This window comes from Homo sapiens, chromosome 5 (genome assembly GCF_000001405.40).
Source record: "Homo sapiens chromosome 5, GRCh38.p14 Primary Assembly".
Classification (NCBI taxonomy): domain Eukaryota; kingdom Metazoa; phylum Chordata; class Mammalia; order Primates; family Hominidae; genus Homo; species Homo sapiens.
In genome coordinates, this window is record NC_000005.10 from 142741647 (window position 1) to 142762188 (window position 20542).

The 20542-nt window shown below is 40.8% G+C and overlaps 1 long non-coding RNA gene across 1 annotated transcript; it reads left to right on the top strand.

Annotated features, from left to right (window-relative positions):
* The first annotated feature begins 3953 nt into the window (after positions 1 to 3953).
* LINC01844 (long intergenic non-protein coding RNA 1844) lies at positions 3954 to 19347 on the top strand. Its single transcript, NR_110558.1, has 4 exons — positions 3954 to 4072; positions 15088 to 15184; positions 16181 to 16288; positions 17440 to 19347. It is a non-coding gene; the product is annotated as a long intergenic non-protein coding RNA 1844 (long non-coding RNA).
* The last annotated feature ends 1195 nt before the right edge of the window (positions 19348 to 20542 follow it).

Here is a 20542-nt window from a genome sequence, read left to right on the forward strand (position 1 = left end):
CCAAGCTTCCATCATTTCCCCATTACCTTTGCATATTGATTACTATCTGTACAATTATTTTTTCAGTATACTTTTTATTTTATTTTATTTTTTTAGACAGAGTCTCACTTTTTCACCCAGGCTGGAGTGCAGTGGCACCATCTCAGCTCACTGCAACATCCGCCTCCCAGGTTCAAGTGATTCTCCTGCTTCTGCCTCCTGAGTAGCCAGGATTACAAGCATATGCCACCACGCCCAGCTAATTTTTGTATTTTTAGTAGAGTCGGGGTTTCACTATATTGGCCAGGCTGGTCTTGAAGACCACTTGATCTCAAGTGGTCCGCCCACCTTGGCTGGGAATCCCAAAGTGCTGGGATTACAGGCATGAGCTGCCATGCCCAGCCTTTCTTCAATATACTTTAAATCAATTGATGCTCTTTTAAAAAATTGATTCCTTTTGCAATCTATATATTTCATCACTACCACAAACTGGAAACCAGCACCTTGTGCATTAGGTGGAAGGGAATGTTGAAACTTAATTTTTAACTATTAAAAAAAATGTGTCCTTGTATTATCTAAAAACGTCTATGTCCCCTGTGAAATAGGACATTGAAGTCTGAGCTTTGCTTGAAGGGGGCGGTGGTCAGGGCTGTCAGCGCGCATCAGATCTTACTGCTTCATTGTGCTCTGGACACATCTAATTGCCAGTATCTGCATCTCTGTGCATGAGGGATTTTCTGGGAACCATAGAAGGCCCGTCTGCCCTGGCCTGTAGGCTGCCAGAGAATTAACACCCTAAGAGTAGCTGATGGCTGATGGGAATTGGTAGATAAGTACCCCAGCTCCCCATGCCTCTTGTGGGATACTATTCCCCAGAGTGTCCCTGTGGGGTTGGACTCTTGTCACTTACTGTAGTAGCTGGCTGAATAACACATCCTTTTTTGGCTGTCTTCCTTTCCTCTATCACCTCCCCAACCCATAAGCAGTGTCCCTACACTTCCCAAATGAAAGGCTTGCACTTGAATCATTGTTTCCAGGTCTGCTTCTGGGAGAGTCCAAACCAAGTCAGGGGCTGCTTGCAAATCAGGGGTCAGTGGTCATTTTTATACTCACCAGCTAAGGTTTGCATGATGTGTGCTTTGTACAACTGTGCGTTGACTATGCCAATTTATCAAATGATAAGTGGGAACAGATGCAACCACACTTTGACAAATATTTCATCCAGGTAGCATTTTCCCTACAAAAGAAATGATTTGAAAATATTTTTCCAGAAAAAAATTTTAAAACAAAATCTAAATGGTTTCCAATAGTAATGGCTCTTTCCAACACACACAAGTAAATATGAGCTATTTTTTATTTGGATAATGTTTTGTTTGGATAATGTCCTCCAGTGAAAGAAAGTCAATGTGCTTCAAGCCTGGGAGATATTAAGCCGAAAGCTTGGTTATAAATGCAAATAAAGCTGGGTGCAGTGGCTCATGCCTATAATCTCAACACTTTGGGAGGCCAAGGTAGGCAGATCGCCTGAGCCCAGGCATTCAAGACCAGCTTGGGCAATATGGCAAAACCCCATCTCTACAAAATAATAATAATAATACTTAATAATAATAATTTTAAAAATTAGCTGAGCATGGTGGCGTATGCTTGTAGTCCCAGCCACTTAGGAAGCTGAGGTGGGAGGATTCCTTGAGTCCAGGAGTTCGAGGCTACGGTGAGCTATGATTGCACCACTACACTCCAGCCTGCGTCACAGAGTGAGACTCTGTGTTTAAAAAAAAAAAGAAGAAAAGAAAGAGAGGAGAATGGGTCCTGGATAGGCAGCTAACAACTCTGTCACAGAATAAGGGTCAAGGAAAATTCTTTTGAGGAAGTGACATCTAAACTAAGACTTAAAAATAAAGTAGAGTTACCTATGCTAACAGTGGGAGAGGCATTCCGGGAAGAGGGAAGAGCAATACATGAAGGAGGGAAAGGAGGGGAGGAGAAGAGAGTGCAGCTTCCCAGTTGTGCGTCCCATACTAAGCAGCATGAGATGATTCTGGCCCCTTCCTGGCTTCCCATAGAGAGGCACAAGGACTGCTGTCAAATAATAAAAGAATGCCAAGCAGGAATATTAAGTGACTGTTCTCAGAAAGAGAAGATTATGTATCACCGTTTCTCCATGACTCATCCCTTCCCACATATCTTCAATTTTGAGCATTTAGTCCTTTTTCCACTGGAAGTATGAAATGGTGGTCCCTCTTCCTGCCAAACTCCCCATCAGCTTTGTTTTGGACATTGGCAAAAAGAAATCCTGTTTCCTGTCTTTTGTTTCCTGGCTGTAGCCTCTGGTTCCACCCCCTTCTCGGTCTCACAGTGTCTATTTCCGCCTCAGGCCCCAGAGTTTCTAACAAACCCGTAGATCAGTTTTCTCTTCCATAGTTACTAGTTACACAGAATTATCAAAGAGGAAAATAACTTTTCTTCATCCCAGGGTTTTTTTTCTCCTTGGATCACTTTGTTTAGTTTTTTTCTTAGGTTAAGTTCCCAGGCTCTCCTCTGCAAAGGCAGGAAGAAATTAGCAGGTGTTGGGGGCCCAGTTCTCCCCGGGAACATACTGGAGCCCTACTGGTGTCAGACCAGAAATGATGTAATCAAGTCACTGGCAACAGAATGAAGACAAGGAAAACTCCAGGGTTTATATCTTGGGTGTGGAGATTGAGATATAATATATGGCCAGGAGGGGGAATAAGGCGGGCCTCCTTGCAAAGAACAGTTTTTGAGTTTGCATAATTTTTCCCACTTCTAGGCTGGTTGACCTTAAGCAAGTTACTTGACCACTTTAAGGTTTGGTTTTTTGATCTGTAAAAAAGGAAATCACAGTACCTACCGATGATGTATCTATCCACTTGACTGGGCTAAGGCATGCCCAAATAGCTGGCAGCACATTATTTCTGGGTGTGTCTGTTAGGATATTTCTGGAAGAGATCAGCATTTACATCAGTAGACTGAGGAAAGAAGATTCACCCTCATCAATGTGGGCAGGCATCGTCCAATCTGAATAGAACGACAGGGCAGAGGAAGGGTGAATTTGTTCTCTGCTGAAACTGGGACATCCATCTTCTCCTGCCCTTGGACATTAATGCTTTTGATTCTCAGGCTTTTGGACTCTGACACTGACACCAGCAAGCATCTTCACCCTCCAGCTTCTCTGGCCTTGGGCCTCATACTCTGAGTTACACTATGAGCTCCTGCTCCCATTTCTCAGGCCTTTAAACTCAGACTGAATTATAGCACCAGCTTTCCTGGTTCTCCAGCTTGCAGACATCATACTGTAGAACTTCTCATCCTCCGTAACTGCATGAGCCAATTCTATAATAAATCTCCTAATGTATCTCTATATATATCCTATTGGGTCTGTTTCTCTGGAGAACTCTAATAATATACTACCTAATCAAATTGTTGCGAGGATTAAATAAAATGATATATGTCATAGTGCCAAATAACAAGCCCTCAACAAATGGCCATTATCTTTATTACTAGTGGGATTTAGATCATGTGCTTCTTACTAAAATAATAAATAATATTTATTGTTTGTTTCAGCTATGAAAAGAAAACATTTGGAAGATCACTGATTCCTTCATGGAGAGGCTGGCTTGGGAATAGATGACGTGTCAAAGATTGACATCAACCTTGAGTGCTTATTTGTGGACTTGAGATACAGATAAAAAAAAAAAAAAAAAAACCTCCCTAGAGTGAGGGCTACTTGGGATACATGCTATATCCCAAGGAGTTCTCAGTTTGAGGTCAGCCCCAGCTCTACAACTCACCAGGAGAGTGCGCGAGGATGAGGGAGAGACAGCCTGCTCTGGTTCTCTTCAAGGTGACAATGACACCTGTTGACAGATGAGAATTCCAGCCAGGAATACAGATTTAGGAATCATGTTTCTCACTCTCATGATGACATAGAAGAGATGCGTCTGAATCTTTCTGCCAGTGTGTTAAAGTTATTCTGATATTGACTGTAGTTCTGAGCTTTGTCTCTATCCCACCAAACCACTAACTTCTGGAAATTACTTGTAGACCAAGATGGGAGGACTCCGTGTGTGGCTCCGTGAGTATGTCTGTTACACATATCAACTGCATTTATATATATTCTATATCTTGTTAGGAAAGGCTAGGCTATGCTGCAGAAACGAATAGCCCTAAAATCTCAGTGGCTTAAATGACATAAAGTTATTTTGCTTACGCTGCATGTCCAGATCAATACGAGCTGCCCCTGGCAAAGAGAAGGGGGACACAGAAAGTTGTATTCTGATACTTATAAACTACTGCCCATATTCCAATAGCTCAAACAGATCCTTAGCCACACCTAACATTAGGAAAGAGTTCTCTCGTCAGTGTTAGAATTTTTCTAATTCAAATGGATCTACCTGTGGTCAGTGGGATCTAACTGACATCTTGAACCTTTGAAATTATCTGGCTTGAAGCTGTCGAGTACTGACCAGTGATCTAGTGAAAACAAGACAGGATGGGGATTTTAAAATGCCTGCTAAGAATCTCTTTTAAGAAAAGAGTGATATTTCATCTGCTCACTATGTTCAAAATTAAACCTGTTTCATGCTTTATATTTAAGTCTTAAAATAGATACAGAAAGTTTGGACAATAGAACAGTCAAGATGCAATAGCAATGCTGATTTTTAAAATAAATGGTTAAAATAATCTTTGTAAGAATAATAGAATTACAGTGTTTTGAATTTTTCCAAGGCAGAGATCAGGACAGATGTTTCATTTGTATGCCTGTATCACTTCATTGCCTTAGTTCAGATTAATTTTGCTTATAATTTGGAAGTTGATAAACTAATCCACTTAGTTGAAGGTTGACTTCAGATCACAACTGCCAGTTAAAACACCATGAACACACTGGACTTTTCAACTGTTTTGAATGAAATGTGCAAGTGAAGCCAGCAGAAATATCACTGTAAGTCACTATTTACTGACTGCCTCGCATGTGCCTGACACTGGTTTAAGCACATTAAACACATTATCATTTACCATCTTCCCAGCAAGAGACAAGGCTGCTAAGGCTTTGAGAGCTACCATGTTCTGTTCAAGGTCACGTGGCTGATACATGTCAAAGCCAAAGCCTAATCTCAGGTTTATCTGAATCCAAAGGTCAAATTGGATTAATTCACTGCTATTGAACTGAATAGCAGTGACTTAATGAGACTGACTCCACTGAGGGAACCTCACAGATTTGGAGGAAGATTTTGACTGTATATGTGCTTATTTGACTGTTTTCCATTCGAGGAACTGAGACACGAAAAGAGTTCACTCAAGGATAAGTTGTGAGTCTTATGTCAACCAGAAATTATCTCTAGTTATTATTTCTGAAAGTGATAAAATAACATTATGTTCCAAGTCCTTGATGGAGAGCTTGATCCCTGGATTTGAGCTCTTTGAGAGCTTACTGGCCCTGGGAAAAGTATAACTGGTACTTGAGCCTTTTAGCTTATACTTCTCAGTCAGATTTTTTGAAACTTCTGTTCCTCATAAACTCAAGCCAAAGCATGACTATGCATAGAACATGCAACAGCTCTTCAGGAAGGGAAATTGCTGCCCAGGATTCCAAATTTGAAATCATGCAATGCTATTTAAAGGCTTGGCCAAACTTCAAAGTTGGTTGAATTCACTAGGGGTAACCTGGAATTTCTGTTTCCCAGAAAGGGATTTCTTGACATTTTCTCCTAACCTTGTGATGGTCCCTTATTCTGAGGACCCTATAGGATATTCACTGATTCTATAAGCATTTTTTGAGAACCTCCTCTGTGCTAGGCATGTGCTGGTAATATTGTGGTAGACAGAACATAGTGTTTGCCCTTAAGGAGCTTATAGTCTAGTCAGGAATATAGAACATGACATGGGCAATGAGTTCAGTTGTCTTTTTTTTTTTGAGCTACAATGCCACATTTAATATTCTTTCCAGTGATGCCTTGGACTAAGCAGGTACTTTCAATTTAAGGCAATGGGTCACAGTGTAAGGAAGACTTGGGGACAGATAGGGACACACAGGTAAGTGATTGGTCATGTTGCACATTAGCCCTATTACTTAACCTCACTGAGCTTCAAGTTTCCCCTCTGTAAAATGGGAATAATAATACTGGCTTTGAAGGGCACTGTAAGGATTAAATGAGGTAATACGTGTCAAACATCTATCATCGTGCCTGGTTCACAGCAAGTGCTCATAACTGTTAACACAGCCAATAAAGGTGAGAAATAGTGAGGATGTCAGTAACAATAAGAAAGAGTAAAAACTGTAACAATGAGATGGGGGTAGAAATAAAATATAGGCTGATGAGAGAAAAGGGTTCAATCACTGAAGCTATTTTCTCTGCAAGTCACCCCTTAAAATGTGTATTCGGATGCAATTTCCAGCCTTTAAAAAAATACATAAAGAGTCAACTTTTTATTAAATTTGTATGTAAAGGGCAGATATAGCTGAATGGGAGCTGGTTTAAACTGAGCCCAAACTTTTTTCCTTTTTCTTTTTTCTCTTGTCCTTTCCTTCCCTGGGTCCAGAACAATAAGCTTTGTTTAGAGGAAGAGTATTTACCCAAGGCCTGTTTCCACTTAAGATATTTCAGCAGGACAGTGAATAACCTCTTACACTATTGAGAAATTTTCACTGTCTGGAATTACTGGAACAAAGATGTCATTATTAAAACAAACTTTTGACCTTCTATAGAACGGTCACTTTAGCTACAAGAGAATCATTCACAATGGCTTTATAAGAATGGAAGCTATGACATCATTATTATATACAACACTCTATCAAAGATCTTGATTGTGAGAATCAGTTAGAATTCTTTGGTGGCAAGCAACAGAACTAACTCTGGCTCACTTAGGCAAAAGAAACAATTTATTCCAAGGCTATCAGGGTTGCTTACAGATCTGAGGGAAAGGCTGAAAAACCAGGTTTCTGAGAGCACAAGAACCAGGGCAACAGCTTAGGAAGCAGAAACTAACAGATTTTTGGGGTCACCCGTACCAGATGAATCAACTTCATTTATTTTGTCTCTGCTTCAGCTCTCTCAGTATTTAATTTCCTGGGAGAGAAAATCTGGTTGGCCAAACTTGGGTCTTGGGCCCAGGGGGCAGCCAGAGGGCAGCAGAGCACCTTGATTGACAGTCCTACAAAGCCTTCCTCCAGTCAGTGAGGGGCAGGTAGTTCCTTGAGGAAACTGAGGCTTGGCCACCCAAAGTGGGACTAGATCATGGGAAGATATCAATACTTTCATACTACGCAAGCTTCTAGGGCAGAGATATCATGGAGGAATCATCACTTTACTTAAAGGGACAACTGAGGAACTGAATTAAAGTAGTTTGCCCAGGAGCCACAGGTAGTGGCAGAAAGGAAATGTTCTGACTCCTACCAGCCAAATGGGAATTTCCCTTATTCCATCCAGTTGGCTAAAGCAGTGGTTCAGAGACTTGGCAGTGCATCAGAATTACCTGTGGAGCTTGCTAAAAATAGAGAAGCTAGGTTTGGCATAGGGCTGGGGCATCTGTATTTTTAATAAGCTTCTTGTGTGATTCTGCTTACAACCAACTTGGAGGCCCACTACATCATCAAATTTCCATAGGATCTGATATAGGAAAAGAACATTGCAGAAATAAAAATGGGATAAGGTATGATACAGTTTGAATATTTGTCCCCACCAAATCTCATGTTGAAATGTGATCCCCCAATGTTGGAAGTAGGGCCTAGTGGGAAGTGTTTGGGTCACAGAGGCAAATCTCTCATGAATGGCTTGGTGCCCTCCTTGCCATAATGAGTGAGTTCTTACTCTATTAGTTCATGCGAGAGCTGGTTGTTTAAAAAGCCTGGCGCCTCTCCTCCATCTCGCCTGCTTCCTCTCTCACCATATGACTCATCTTCTCTCCTTTCACCTTCCTCCATGAGTAAAAGCTTCCTAAAGTCCTGACCAGAAACAAATGCTGGTGCCATGCTTTTTGTACAGCCTGCAGAACCATGAGCCAAATATACTTTTCTTTATAAAGTACCCAGTCTTGGGTATTCCTTTATAGCAATGCAAAATGGATGAATTTAGTAATTTTAGGGGAAAGGTTTGGGTTTGTTGACAACATTTTTTGAGGTCCAATTTGTGTTAGCTGATTTCATGGTTTGAGGTTTGAGGGAATGTGAGGACAGGGAGAGGTCTTTCCCTATTTGTGACAAGCCTGCACCAAGTGGATCAGGCAGGTTAGGCTGTTTCCTAGAAAGCATCTACCGTTGAGCATACTAAGCATTGAGCATATTAAGCATTGAGCAAGGAGCAAGGCTGGGACCCCTCTTGGGTAGTCCTGACTATCTACAGTATTAAAGGGGGAGGATCAGATTATACGGGTAGTGTACCCAAGTGCCAAGATCTAGAATACAAAAAAGGGTTGGGAAATAGGCCTGAGCTGGCACAAACAGGAAAAGATCTGTTACCTTTATCTTGTTTCCTCACAGCTGATGAAGACAGGCTAATGCTAAGTCTCTTAACCAACCTGGAGGATGGAGAAGATGGGAGAGTGCTATTCTTCTTCTAGGAAGCTGCATTCCTCAACTCTTTACCTGGGTACTCCTATCCACCCTTCAGGTCCTTGTTTAAATATTACCTCCTCAGAGAGGCCTTCCTAACACCCTCTTCCCCCAGCTCAATCTAAACTAGGGTCCTTGCTGTTCTTTCTGTGGTCATCTGGTCTTTCCCAGAGCCAGATTCATGGACATGCAATATGTACAGTCATTCTGCACTTAGAAGGACTCCATGCTTGGTTTAATGCTCTGCTGTCACCATCCTGAAGTTCTTAATACTTTTTGAACCAGGGGTCCTCCATTTTCATTTTTCACTGGGTTCTGCAGATTATATAGCTGGTCCTGTTCTTTCCCTTTCTTGAACTTAGCACCTTTAATTGCTATTAATTTAGGTGTTAATAGTCCTAACATCTAGCTCCATGCCTCCCACTGTCATACAGGCTTGATAAACGTTGCTTAACCTTTTCAAATTATGGTTATTTGACTACTTTTGATTTACAAAAAAGCATATTCATATGATTAAACCTAAACTATTCTGGATGAATGAATAGATGAATGAATGAATGATGGAAGGAAGAAAGATACTTTGGACAAGTGCATTGTTGACCCAATATCCGCTCACCTACTTCCTTTCTAATAGAACTTAATTATGATCAGGTGTCCATCCCTTCCCCAGTGACTCAGGGGAGGTGACCCAATTCCCAATTCCAAGGTAGATCCTGATTAGCCTACATTTTCTTTTTCTTAAAAATAGTCTTCTCTCTCTGGACGTTGTCAGGTTTGAATCTGACTCCCAGGACTGCTAAAGTCATCTTGCTATCGGTCTAACAATTAAACCAACCAAAGCGAAAAGTAGCGCCAAGGAAATTGCATAAAAGCGGTAGCAATATGCATAAATAAAAGCAGTATTCTAGATGGCCCTTGCTGTACCCTGAGCTTCTTATTATGTGAGATAATAGGGTTTCTGTATTGTTTCTTCTAGTTGTCTATTGCTATAAAACAGTTACCACAACATGGAGTGGCTTAAAATAGCATCCATGTTATTAAATTTCATAATTTTGTAGGCCAGGAAGCCAGGAAGGACTTACTTAGGTAATTCTTCTATTCCATGTACCATTGACTGAGGTCCCTTAGTGATATTCAGCTGGCTGATGGACTGGTCTTTAGAGTCCACATATTTGGCACCTTGGCAATGCTGGCTGGAAGTGCAGGCTCAGCTGGGACATTTAACCAGAACACACATACATGACCTCTTCAACATGGCCATCTCAAGGTACTCAGACTTCTTCCCCAGGGTGAAGGGCTTCCAGAGAGAGTATTCCAAGAGACAGGAAGTAGAAGCCTTCAGTCTCTTAAGGCCAGAGCCTGGACTGGCACAGCATCACGTCTGTCATATTCTGTGGGTCAGAGCAGTCACAAATTCCATTGAGATGCAAGGGGAGAGGACATAGTTTACCTCTTGATGGGAAAATTATCACTTTATGGCTATTTTAATGCTTCACATTATTTAAGTCAATTGGACACTGATTTTCTGTTATTTATAGGCTAAAGAATTCAAGAATTCCTGAGGAATTCAAGGAACTCAAGGTTCTCTCAAGCTTGGGAAGATATTTCTTCCTGTTCCCCTAAAACAGAAGTCTGTACACTTTTTCTGCAAAGGGCTACATAGTAAATATTTCAGGCTTTACAGGCCACTTGGTCTCTTTTGAAACCACTCAACTCTGCCAATGAGGCATGAAAAACAGCCATGGAAAATAAATAAATGAATGAGTATGGTTACGTTCCAATAAAAATTTTCTTTATGGTCACTGAAATTTGAATTTCACGTAATTTTCACATGTCACAAATTGTTTTGTTTTTCATCCATTTAGAAATGTAAAAATCATTCTTAGCTGTGGGCTGTCCAAAAAAAAAAAAAAATGCAGGCCAGGTCCCTCTGTTATTTCTTGGGCTGTATTTTACCAACCCCTACTCTAATATATCAAGCCAGCTTCAGGCTCAGGACTTTGCATGTGCTGCCTCCTGGAATGCTGTTCTGGGTGGGTCTCCATGTGGTTTGTACATTCTCTTCATTGGGTTTTATCTCAAATATTACCGCTTCAGGATAGTCTTCTCTGATCACTCTATCTAAAATAGTACGCTTACTCTGAAACACATTATCTCCTTGTATTTTCTTTTCTTTTCCTTTTTTTTGAGACAGAGTCTCACCCTGTTTTCCAGGCTGGAGTGCAGAGACACAATCACAGCTCACTGCAACCTCCGCCTCCCGGGTTCAAGTGATTCTCCTGCCTCAGCCTCCTGACTAGCTGGGATTACAGGCACCTGCCATTATGCCTGGCTAATTTTTGTATTTTTAGTAGAGATGGGGTTTCACCATGTTGGCCAGGCTGGTCTTGAACTCCTGACCTCAGGTCATCCACCCGCCTCAGCCTCCCAAAGTGCTGGGATTACAGGCATGAGGCACTGTGCCCGGCCTCTCCTTGTATTTTCTTGATAGCATGTCTAACTGTCAGAAATTTTGCTCGTTTATTTATTTACATATTTGCTGCTTTTTCTCCACCCTCACTAGATTCTAATCTGAATGAAGCAGGGATCATGTCTGTCTTATCTACTTCTGTGAACACATTATCTAGCACGGTGCCTGGCATGTAATAGATGCTCAAGTAAATATTGGTTGAATCAATAATGGTTACAATTCAATTCACTAGAGCTTGAGAAGAACATAAAAGGCTACTCCATTTATACTGATTGAATGAGAGAAAGATAATAAAAGCAGAGGAAGGAGATCAAGTCATCACCTTTACTCAGAGAAGCTTTTGTCCCTCTGTTATTTCTGTGTGTTTCAGGGAAAGCTGAAGGAAAAATTCTTCTCCTCTTATATAATTTTGAAGATAGCTATTTTTCTCTCTTGGCAGATATGAATGACTTATCGTGCCTGTCCAGAGTCAGGGAAAGGAGAAACAATCTTATTTGAGAAGGGAGGATATCACTGCAGTGGTTGTGAAATCGTGTTTGGAAGCTAGATTGCTCTAGACCACTAAGGTATGATTTCACAGAAATTCCCAAGATCCCTGCAGGGGAAATAACAAAGGTCCTGGGTGGCATGGCAACAATAGAGATGACAGAATTGGGAATAATATCAGGCTAAACCTGTCCTGGGAGGCAGGGAGGAAAAGCAGCAGCAAGTACAACATTTGGGACAGAGAGCTTGAGCTTGAACAGAATGTACCGGTGCTGTTGGGTGGCAGCCAGGCCCAACAATTTAGCATTGGGCTTTCTAAGCCTGGGGACAGAAGTGGCTTCCATCCAGTCCTGCCTCTACTTACTAAAACAAACAGATTGGCAAAGGAGAAAGAGACTGTTCTAGGTGAATATAATAAACAGGAAGTGTCCATGGGAAACAGTGAGGTCCATAGCTTAGGCTGTGAGTTCAGTGAATTCAGCTTAGGAACCGAGCACTGACACAAATCACAAAGTAGTGGAGAGTGGGCCTGATATAGAAGGTAACAAGGGGCTGACCTGAAAATGTTGAGCACAGTGTGGAAGGCACAATAGGCTAGCTGGGAAGAAGCATGAACTTGGACACTTGAGTCCCTGTTGGTAGATGAGGCAGAGAAAATAGAGATCAAATGATGTCTATAACCTGGACTTACTGGTTGCAAGCAGTGGAAAAGCTAAAAAAAAAAAATTGACCAAATCTTAAAAAGGGCACTTATAGGCTCACATATTTGAGGAGTATGGCAATATGCTAGCTTTAGGGATGGTCAGAGACAGGATCTCGAAGACTGTCTTCAGTCCTTGGTCTCTCTCTCTTTCTTCATCTCTCAGCTCATCTTTCCTCTGTGTTTGCTTCATTCTGAGTCTTTCCCCATGATGCCCAGTGTGCTATGGCAGCAGTGGTCCACATCAGCTCTAGGTGTATATCCATCCAGCTTCAAGTTCAGCTAAGATTACTTTTGGCCTGGTTGTTCTAACAAGTCCAAGAATTCTATCTCATTGCCTCTGACTGGGTCATAAGCTCGTTCCTGAGCCAGTCACTGGGCCCATGGGTTTGCAGTGTTTCATTGGTCATCTCTGGGCTGCATGCCCTCGCCTGAAGCCCAGTGGACTCAGCTTTACGAAAATCACTTGGACTAGGAATCAGAGAGAAGTGGTTCTTCAAGAAAAACTTGGTACTATTTATACCAGAATTGGGTATGGATGCTGGATAGGCAAAAACAAATCAAATTAAAACAAATGAAAAATAGATGTTTGCAACCAGTAATCATCACACTCACATAGAATTGACCAGAAGCCACAATCTCTCTCATCAGTACATGAATATAATTCTAAATGTTATAACCCAATCTTAGACTTTCAGTTGTTTTTATACTGACAAACTGCATGCTCTGGTTTAAATTAGCTTCAGGGAGTTAATACCAAGAATAGAAAATAATCATCATAAATGAGGAAAAAAGTATCCGCAATTATTTAAAACAAAAATGCACAATAGCATAAACTTGGAATTAAAATTGGTAACTAGAAATGCAACTACCTATTGCTCAAATAACCCTTGAATTAGAAGATTAGAAAGCTCTAGAAAAAAGAAATGTTTATATTTTCCATCTAGAGACCTACTTAACTCTTATTTATTTATTTATTTATGGCAGAGTCTTGCTTTGTCACCCAGGCTGGAGTGCAGTGGCATGATCTCGGCTCACTGTAACCTCTGCCTCCTGGATTCAAGCGATTCTCCTGCCTCAGCCTCCCAAGCAGCTGGGACTACAGGTGTGCACCACCACGCCCAGCTAATTTTTGTACTTTTAGTAGAGATGGGGTTTCACCATATTGGCCAGGCTGGTCTGAAACTCCTGACCTCATGATCCACCCGCCTCGGCTTCCCAAAGTGCTGGGATTACAGGCGTGAGCCACTGCGTCTGGCCTCTTTTTTTATTTTTTATTTTTATTTTGAGATAGGGCCTCACTGTGTTGCCCAGGCTGGAGTGCAGTAATGCAATCATGGCTCACTGCAGCCTTGACCTCCCTAGGCTCAGGTGATCCTCCCACCTCAGTCTCCTGAGTAGCTGGGACTACAGGCATGTTCCACCATGCCTGGCTAATTTTTGTATTTTTTGTAGAGACAGGGCTTCACCATGTTGCCCAGGGTGGTCTCAAACTCCTGGGCTTAAGTAATCTGCCTGCCCTGGCCCTCCAAAGTGCTGGGATTACAGGCATGAGCTACCACACCCGGCCTTCATTTTCAATTTAGGATTAATTCATGAAGAAATGTTAACATGGGAGAATGCTCAGATTTTACAAGCCCTTATGATACCTGATGAAGTGTGGTGGTGTCCTTGGCTCCTATGCCTATCTCACTTTATCCCCATGACACCACCTTTCTGACCACTCCCTTTCTGCCTCCTTTACCCACCCCTGAAGCATTGTGTTTCTGGAGGTTCATCTTTGGTTTCCAGCTCTTCTCTTTTTATATGCTCTTGCAGAGTAACTCTTCCTTTACTCTTTTCAACAGGCACCCACTGAGAGCCTCCTTTGTCCCAGGTACTGGGCCAACCATCCTCATAGGTTAACTCCTGAATATCCGTGTGCCAATGATACCCAACTCTCTAAAGTCTAGACTCTCCCTCCAAATTCACACTTGGAAATTCATATAGAGTTCCTTTATAGGTAGTTTTTGAATGGACAAATAGAATGCTTCTCCCTTAGTGATTCAAGTTTAGTGTACCTAAAAATGAAATCCTCTTCCTTCCTGATTCTATCAGTATTTGTATTAATACTTGGTAATACCCTCTAGGATTGAAACTTCAGGATTGTCCTTGCCTCCTCCCTCTAGTCTCCCTAACATAAAGTCCCACTGATTTTTGACTCAGTATTTCTAAATCTGGCCTCTTATCCCCCATCTTCACTCCTCCTTCCCTAATTCAGACCTGTATCACCTTTTATTTAAATGCTGGTCTCCCTCCCTCCAAGCGTATCCATGTATCAATCACATTCCCCTGCTTCAGTGGCTCTCTATTGCCTATTACACTCTTTAATATGCTAAATAAAGTTCTCTGTATCCTGCCCTCTGCTCCGCTTCCAGCTTTACCTCTAGAGTGACCTGCCTTAAATGTCTGTAGTTTTCTGCACACCTTACACAGATTCATGCCACTGTGGCTTTGTGCATGCTCTACCCTCTGTCTGGAATATATCTCACCCCAAGAGTTAATTGAGGTACAGTTCCTCTAGAGTGCCTTGTTGGCACTCTTCAGGCTGAGCTGAGTGCCCTTGCATTGGCTCCCATAGCACACTGGGCATCCTTCTCTCATTGCACTGTGAAGTTCAGGTCCTCTGGCTGTCACTCAGACTCCCTTGTGAGTTCCTTGAAGGTGTGGGCATGTCTCGTTCATCCTTGGCTCCCCAGTGCCTAGTCCAGCACCCGAAGCATAGTAAGATTTCAATAAATGTCTGGTGAGTAAAATAACAGTTATCATTGTAGATCTATGTTTCTTCTTAAGTGCTTATGATTCTTCTTATAATTATAGGTCTGTGTCTCCTCTTGGTCTTCACAGCTCTCTTCATGTGACAAAGAAACTTCCTAAAATACTAAAAGCTAAAGGAGATTGTTATCTAAGCTTGAGATGGAAGGTTGCCAGCGGAAACTTGGAGGTAATCTAATTTGCATTTTCTGGGCCAAAGGATTAATTCTAGAGGCCAAAACGAATGCTACAGAACCTAAAATACATACTAGTTTGATACAATGGATTAGAAGAGTGACTAACAAAAAAATAAGATCCTATTTCTCTAGTTTAAACCATTTATTTACTTATAGTCAGTTTTTCTAAGCCTTATCTGGAATTGTCAAACTAATATTTTCTAAATTAATTTTAAATCCATATGGAAAGTCAACTAGTCTTTGTACTGCATTCTGAGTATAAAATGAACAAGCACAGTATTCACCCTGCAGAAGGCATTCAGCAAATGGTTATTGACTTTACATTTTCCTATTGAAATATACAGAATATTTCACCAAAACACTATTATTCATTAATTCATTCAATAAATTTTTTGAGTACTTGTTATGTGTGAGGCACTGTTCTAGGCCCAGGGGATATAGCACTGAAAAAAGGACTTTTCTGTCTAAAAGAGCACACTCCCACTCTCTTACCCTGCTGTCATGGGGTTTTCATTCTATTGTGAAGAAAATAACAATAAATCATGCAAAAAGTATACATCACCAACAACCACGATAAGGATTGTGGCGAAAAATAAAACAGGGTGAGTGTGTGTGTGTGTGTGTGTGTGTGTGTGTGTGTTATTTTGGATGGGGAAGGTAGGGGAAGCCTATCTGAAAAGATGATATTGGAATAGAGACTTGAAGGAAGAAAAATAATGTCATGTTGATATCTATGAAAAAAGAATTATAGGCAGAGAAAACAGCAAGTGTAAAGGCCTTGAGGGAAGAGAGTAGGTATGCCTTGTTTGAAGAATGTCAAGAAGGCCAGGTAGCTGGGACAGAGTGGGCAGAGGGAGAAGGGCAGGACACGAGCTGAGAAGAGTATCTGTGGGTCAGATCGTGGTTTCGTTTTTACTCTGGTAAGATGGAAACCACTGGAAGGTTGTGATCAGAGGTGTGACATGCTATCTTCTATGTTCACTCTAAAGGATCACAGCCAGTCGCCTGGGATTGACCACAGGGAGTGGCAGAGGCAGAAAGCAAAAGACCAGTTGCAATTATCCAGGTAAAAGATGGAGGCTGTTGCAATAATCCAGGTAAAGAATGTTTGGTGGCTTGAACCAGGGTGGTAGCAGAATAGGTGGAAAAGTAGTCAGACAATAGGTATCTGTTGGAGGCTCAGTCAAAAAGATTTGCTGATGACTGGGTATGAATTGTGAGGGGGGAAAATGGTGGCTCTAAGATTTTGTCTTGAGCAACTACAAGGATGGGTTTAGTGGGGTTTGGGGAGAAAAATCAAGATTTCGGAGGTGAGAGGGAGAGATTTTAATTCTGGTCTCTCTTTAAATTTGAGATGCCTATTCAGATATACAAGTAGAATGTTGAGCAATCAATTGTGTACACCTGTATGAGTTCAGGAGCGAGGTCAAATCTGGGCTAGATGTTGGAAGTTGTTAGTGTGCTGACGGTGTTAAAAGCTACGGAGTATTCAAAGTTGGGGTCACCTAGGAGGTGTGTTTGGATAGAGATTTGAGAACTGGCCTGGAGTATTCTAATGTCTAGAGATTGGGAAAATAAGGAAGAATCAGAAAAGGAAACTGAGAAAGAGGGATCAGTGAGCTAGAAGCAGATCCAAGAGAAAGTGAGTGGGTGGAGACCCAGAGGCCAAGTGAAGAAAGATTGTTAGGCCTGAAGTAAGAAACAACCCGCCAAGTTCCCGTTTACCCCAGGTCTCAGCGGATGGTGTACTTCCACATCTATATGTGTGTAAAAATGTTTTTTCTTTATTCTTTTTGGCCTGGGGTTACCCAACTGCCATGTATTCCCTTTGTTCCTTCCCCTGGAAACTCTGAGTCTATGTGGTCCAAGACTTCAGTACTGGGCCTGTGTGGTTATGAGCTCATACTTCTCTTTTCCTCTTATAACAGCTATAAGATCAGTTCACCTTTTGTTTACAGTTCTAAGGAGAATTTGAAGCACTGAGCATATGCCAGGGTTGTCCATTCATAAAATCACTCATTTATTCATTTGCTGTGTAGTTACTGGGAATTTGCAATGTGCAGGCACTGTTCTAGAAGCTGATGATATAGCCATGAAGCAGATAGACCCAACATGAGATCTGCCAACAGGGAACTGACATTCTAGTGAACTAAGAGGGAATTACTTTCAATCGGGAGGGCAGGGAAGTATCTCTGAAGGGCTAGATTCTGCTGTCTCCAAAGTAACCAATTCATCTGTTCCTTTTTAGAATCCTGAATTGAGCCTGTGTTCCCAGTTCCTAGAAACCCTCAAGGTTATTGGTTTCCTCCTCGCTTAATAGACCAGTGGAAGAAATCTACCTCCAGTTCTATCTTCACATGAGCAACTGTTTACAGTTTACAATATTACTCTGAAAATCAGTTCTTTTCAAGTTTTATCTAACACCCACCAGAAGAAACAGAAGATTATGAAAATGGAATTTGTCAAAGTTCCTCTCCCAACAATATGATATTTAATTTTGCTAACATTTTTTTTTGAACACTTACTATATTGCAGACAATGGTCTAAGTAAAGCATTTTATGTGCATCCTATCATGTCATCATCACACAGCCCTGTGAGGTAGATACTATTATTATTAACCACATTTCACATTCAAAAAAACTGAGGCTTAGAGAGACTAAGTAAATTGTCCAAGGTCACACAGCCATGAAGTGGCAGAGCTGTGGTTAAAACCTATGTCTGTCTGATGTTTAAGATTTTGCTGTTAGCATTACTTTGAAATGACAATATGAGGGCATTTTATGTATTTTTTTTGCCCCAATATGATCTGCAGAAACTATGTATTTTAAGTACTACATTTCTTTTATTTACCAAATTATTGTCAGATAAGAAACCGAAATAAAAGTTTACAGGGTCTAGGATTCCTCCATAATGAATGAACTTTGGGGTATTTCAGTGACAAATTGGCTTTAACGCGATCAAATTCCATCCTACAATGAAAGTGTGTTAGTTTGTGGTTTCAAGTTTAAAAACAGCACTGTATTGTCTTCCAGAAATATATAAATAGAAATTCAAGAAGTATTTCAATGAATACAGATAAAATTAGTTTTGTTAGAACATCAAATATGTGGGTTTCATTTCTTAGCTCAGTTTAGAAACTGTAATTTCAATTTTTTTTAGCAGCTGTGGTAAATTTTGAGATTTGAAATTTCATATAATATAAATCCTCATTTATTGAGCATTTAAATTATATGCCCAACAATTTACTGTGTACATTACTTCACTTGTTCTTAACTATAACTCTACAAAATATTATTGTCCTTGATTTATAGATGAAGATATTGAGACTCAGTTAAGTAACTTGCTTGAAATTCAAAAACGTTAACTGTGGAAGGCAGTATTTGAACCCAGTGTTCAAAACCCCATGCTCTTTTTATTATATGACCTTATTTCCTATTCAGTCTTCAGAAGATATATTGTCTTATTAGATTATTCTCGTTCTCTAAATAAGTGACCTTGGGCAACTATCTTTTTCCCTGGTATTTTCCCCTGCCTTTAAAACAATGTGATCAAACTGGAAGTTTTTCACGATCTCTCTTAGCCCTAAAGCTCCTTGGTTCTGTAATTCCACCAATAGCCCATTTCAAAAATAATTCTACAGTAATCAGTGGGACTCCTGTTTTTCCCATCTTTTTTTTTTTTGAAACAGAAAATTGAAACTTTTAAATTAGTTTAGTAAATACATCTACTAGTTTTTTTCTTTTATAGTCATGGTTATATTATTTGGTCCTTCTTAGTTGCAACATGTTTCCTTGCTGTCAATTTATAATACCTCTCATCAACAATAGCCTGAAGAAATAGATTTGAATTGCTTTCCCTAATTTATAGCTGGAAAACTAGGCTACGCTGGTATCTTAAATTGACTTTCCTGAGGTCACGGGCACTCAGTGCCAAGAGGAGTTGGTACCTACGCATTTGAAATTTCTGGATTTCTGGTCTTACTCTGTACTTAGTCACTCTTTTCTTTCATTTGGCCCTATGGTGGGCAAACTACAGCCTACAGGCCAATTCCAGCCTACCATCTGTTTTTGTATGGTCCATGAACTAAGAATGGTTATCACATTTTAAAATGGTGGGAAAAAAAGACTATTTTGTGACATAAAAATTATATGAAATCCAAATTTCAGTGTCTATAAATTTTGTTGGAATATAGTTACCACACTCATTCTTTTATGCACTGTTTTTGGCTGGTTTTCTGCCTCAACAGCAGAGTTGAGTAGGTGCAACCAAGACTGTATGGCCTACAAAGCCTAAAAGTTTGTTATAGAAAAGTTTGCTGACCAACTCTATTGGTTGCTTAGTATTGCTAGGCACTCTGCAAGTCACAGGGAACACAGCAAACTAGACACATGACTGCCTTGGGCTTAAGAAGAGGTTTCTAAACTTTTGAATAAAAAACAAAACAAACAACAAACAAAGTTGGAGGGACATAAAACTTCCAAATATTAATTTTGCCAGTGGGGTTTGTTTGTTTTTTTGTTTGAGATGGAGTCTTGCTCTGTCACCCAGGCTGGAGTGCAATGGCGCGATCTCGGCTCACTGCAACCTCTGCTTCCTGGGTTCGAGCAATTTTCTTGTCTCAGCTTCCAGAGTAGCTGGGATTACAGGCACCCGCCACCACGCTTGGCTAATTTTTTTGTATTTTTAGCAGAGACGGGTCTGGTCTCGAACTCCCGACCTCAGGTGATTCGCCCAGCTCCTGGGCGTGAGCCCCAGTGGGTATTTCTTAAAAACACAGCTACTATTTTCACTCATCATTTTATTTAAAAAAGGAGTATGTTAATACAAAAAAGTATATTAATGCCAAATTTGTAGGAAGAACATAATCTCAAAAAGCACTCTTTCAAATGGAATATATTAAGCTTCATGAAAAACTTTACATGGTCATTGTTTTTCTCATTTCATTATGGATCAAAGTAAACTTTCTAGACTGGCCTATATCATCAGACCAGCTTTGGGAAGCACAGGAGTAGTTCACATTGTTACTTTTCAGGCAAAACAATCTTTAAAAATGTTTAGTCTTTATAGTGATAGAATGCTTTAGTTTGAGAATTTAACTGCTAGTAGCTTTTTTTTTTTTTTTTTTTTTTGAGATGGAGTCTCGCTCTGTATCCCAAGCTGGAGTGCAGTGGCGCGATCTCGGCTCACTGCAACTTCAGCCTCCCGGGTTCACGCTATTCTCCTGCCTCAGTCTCCCAAGTAGCTGGGACTACAGGCGCCCACCACCACGCCCGGCTAATTTTTTGTATTTTTAGTAGAGATGGGGTTTTACCATGTTAGCCAGGATGGTCTCGATCTCCTGACCTCGTGA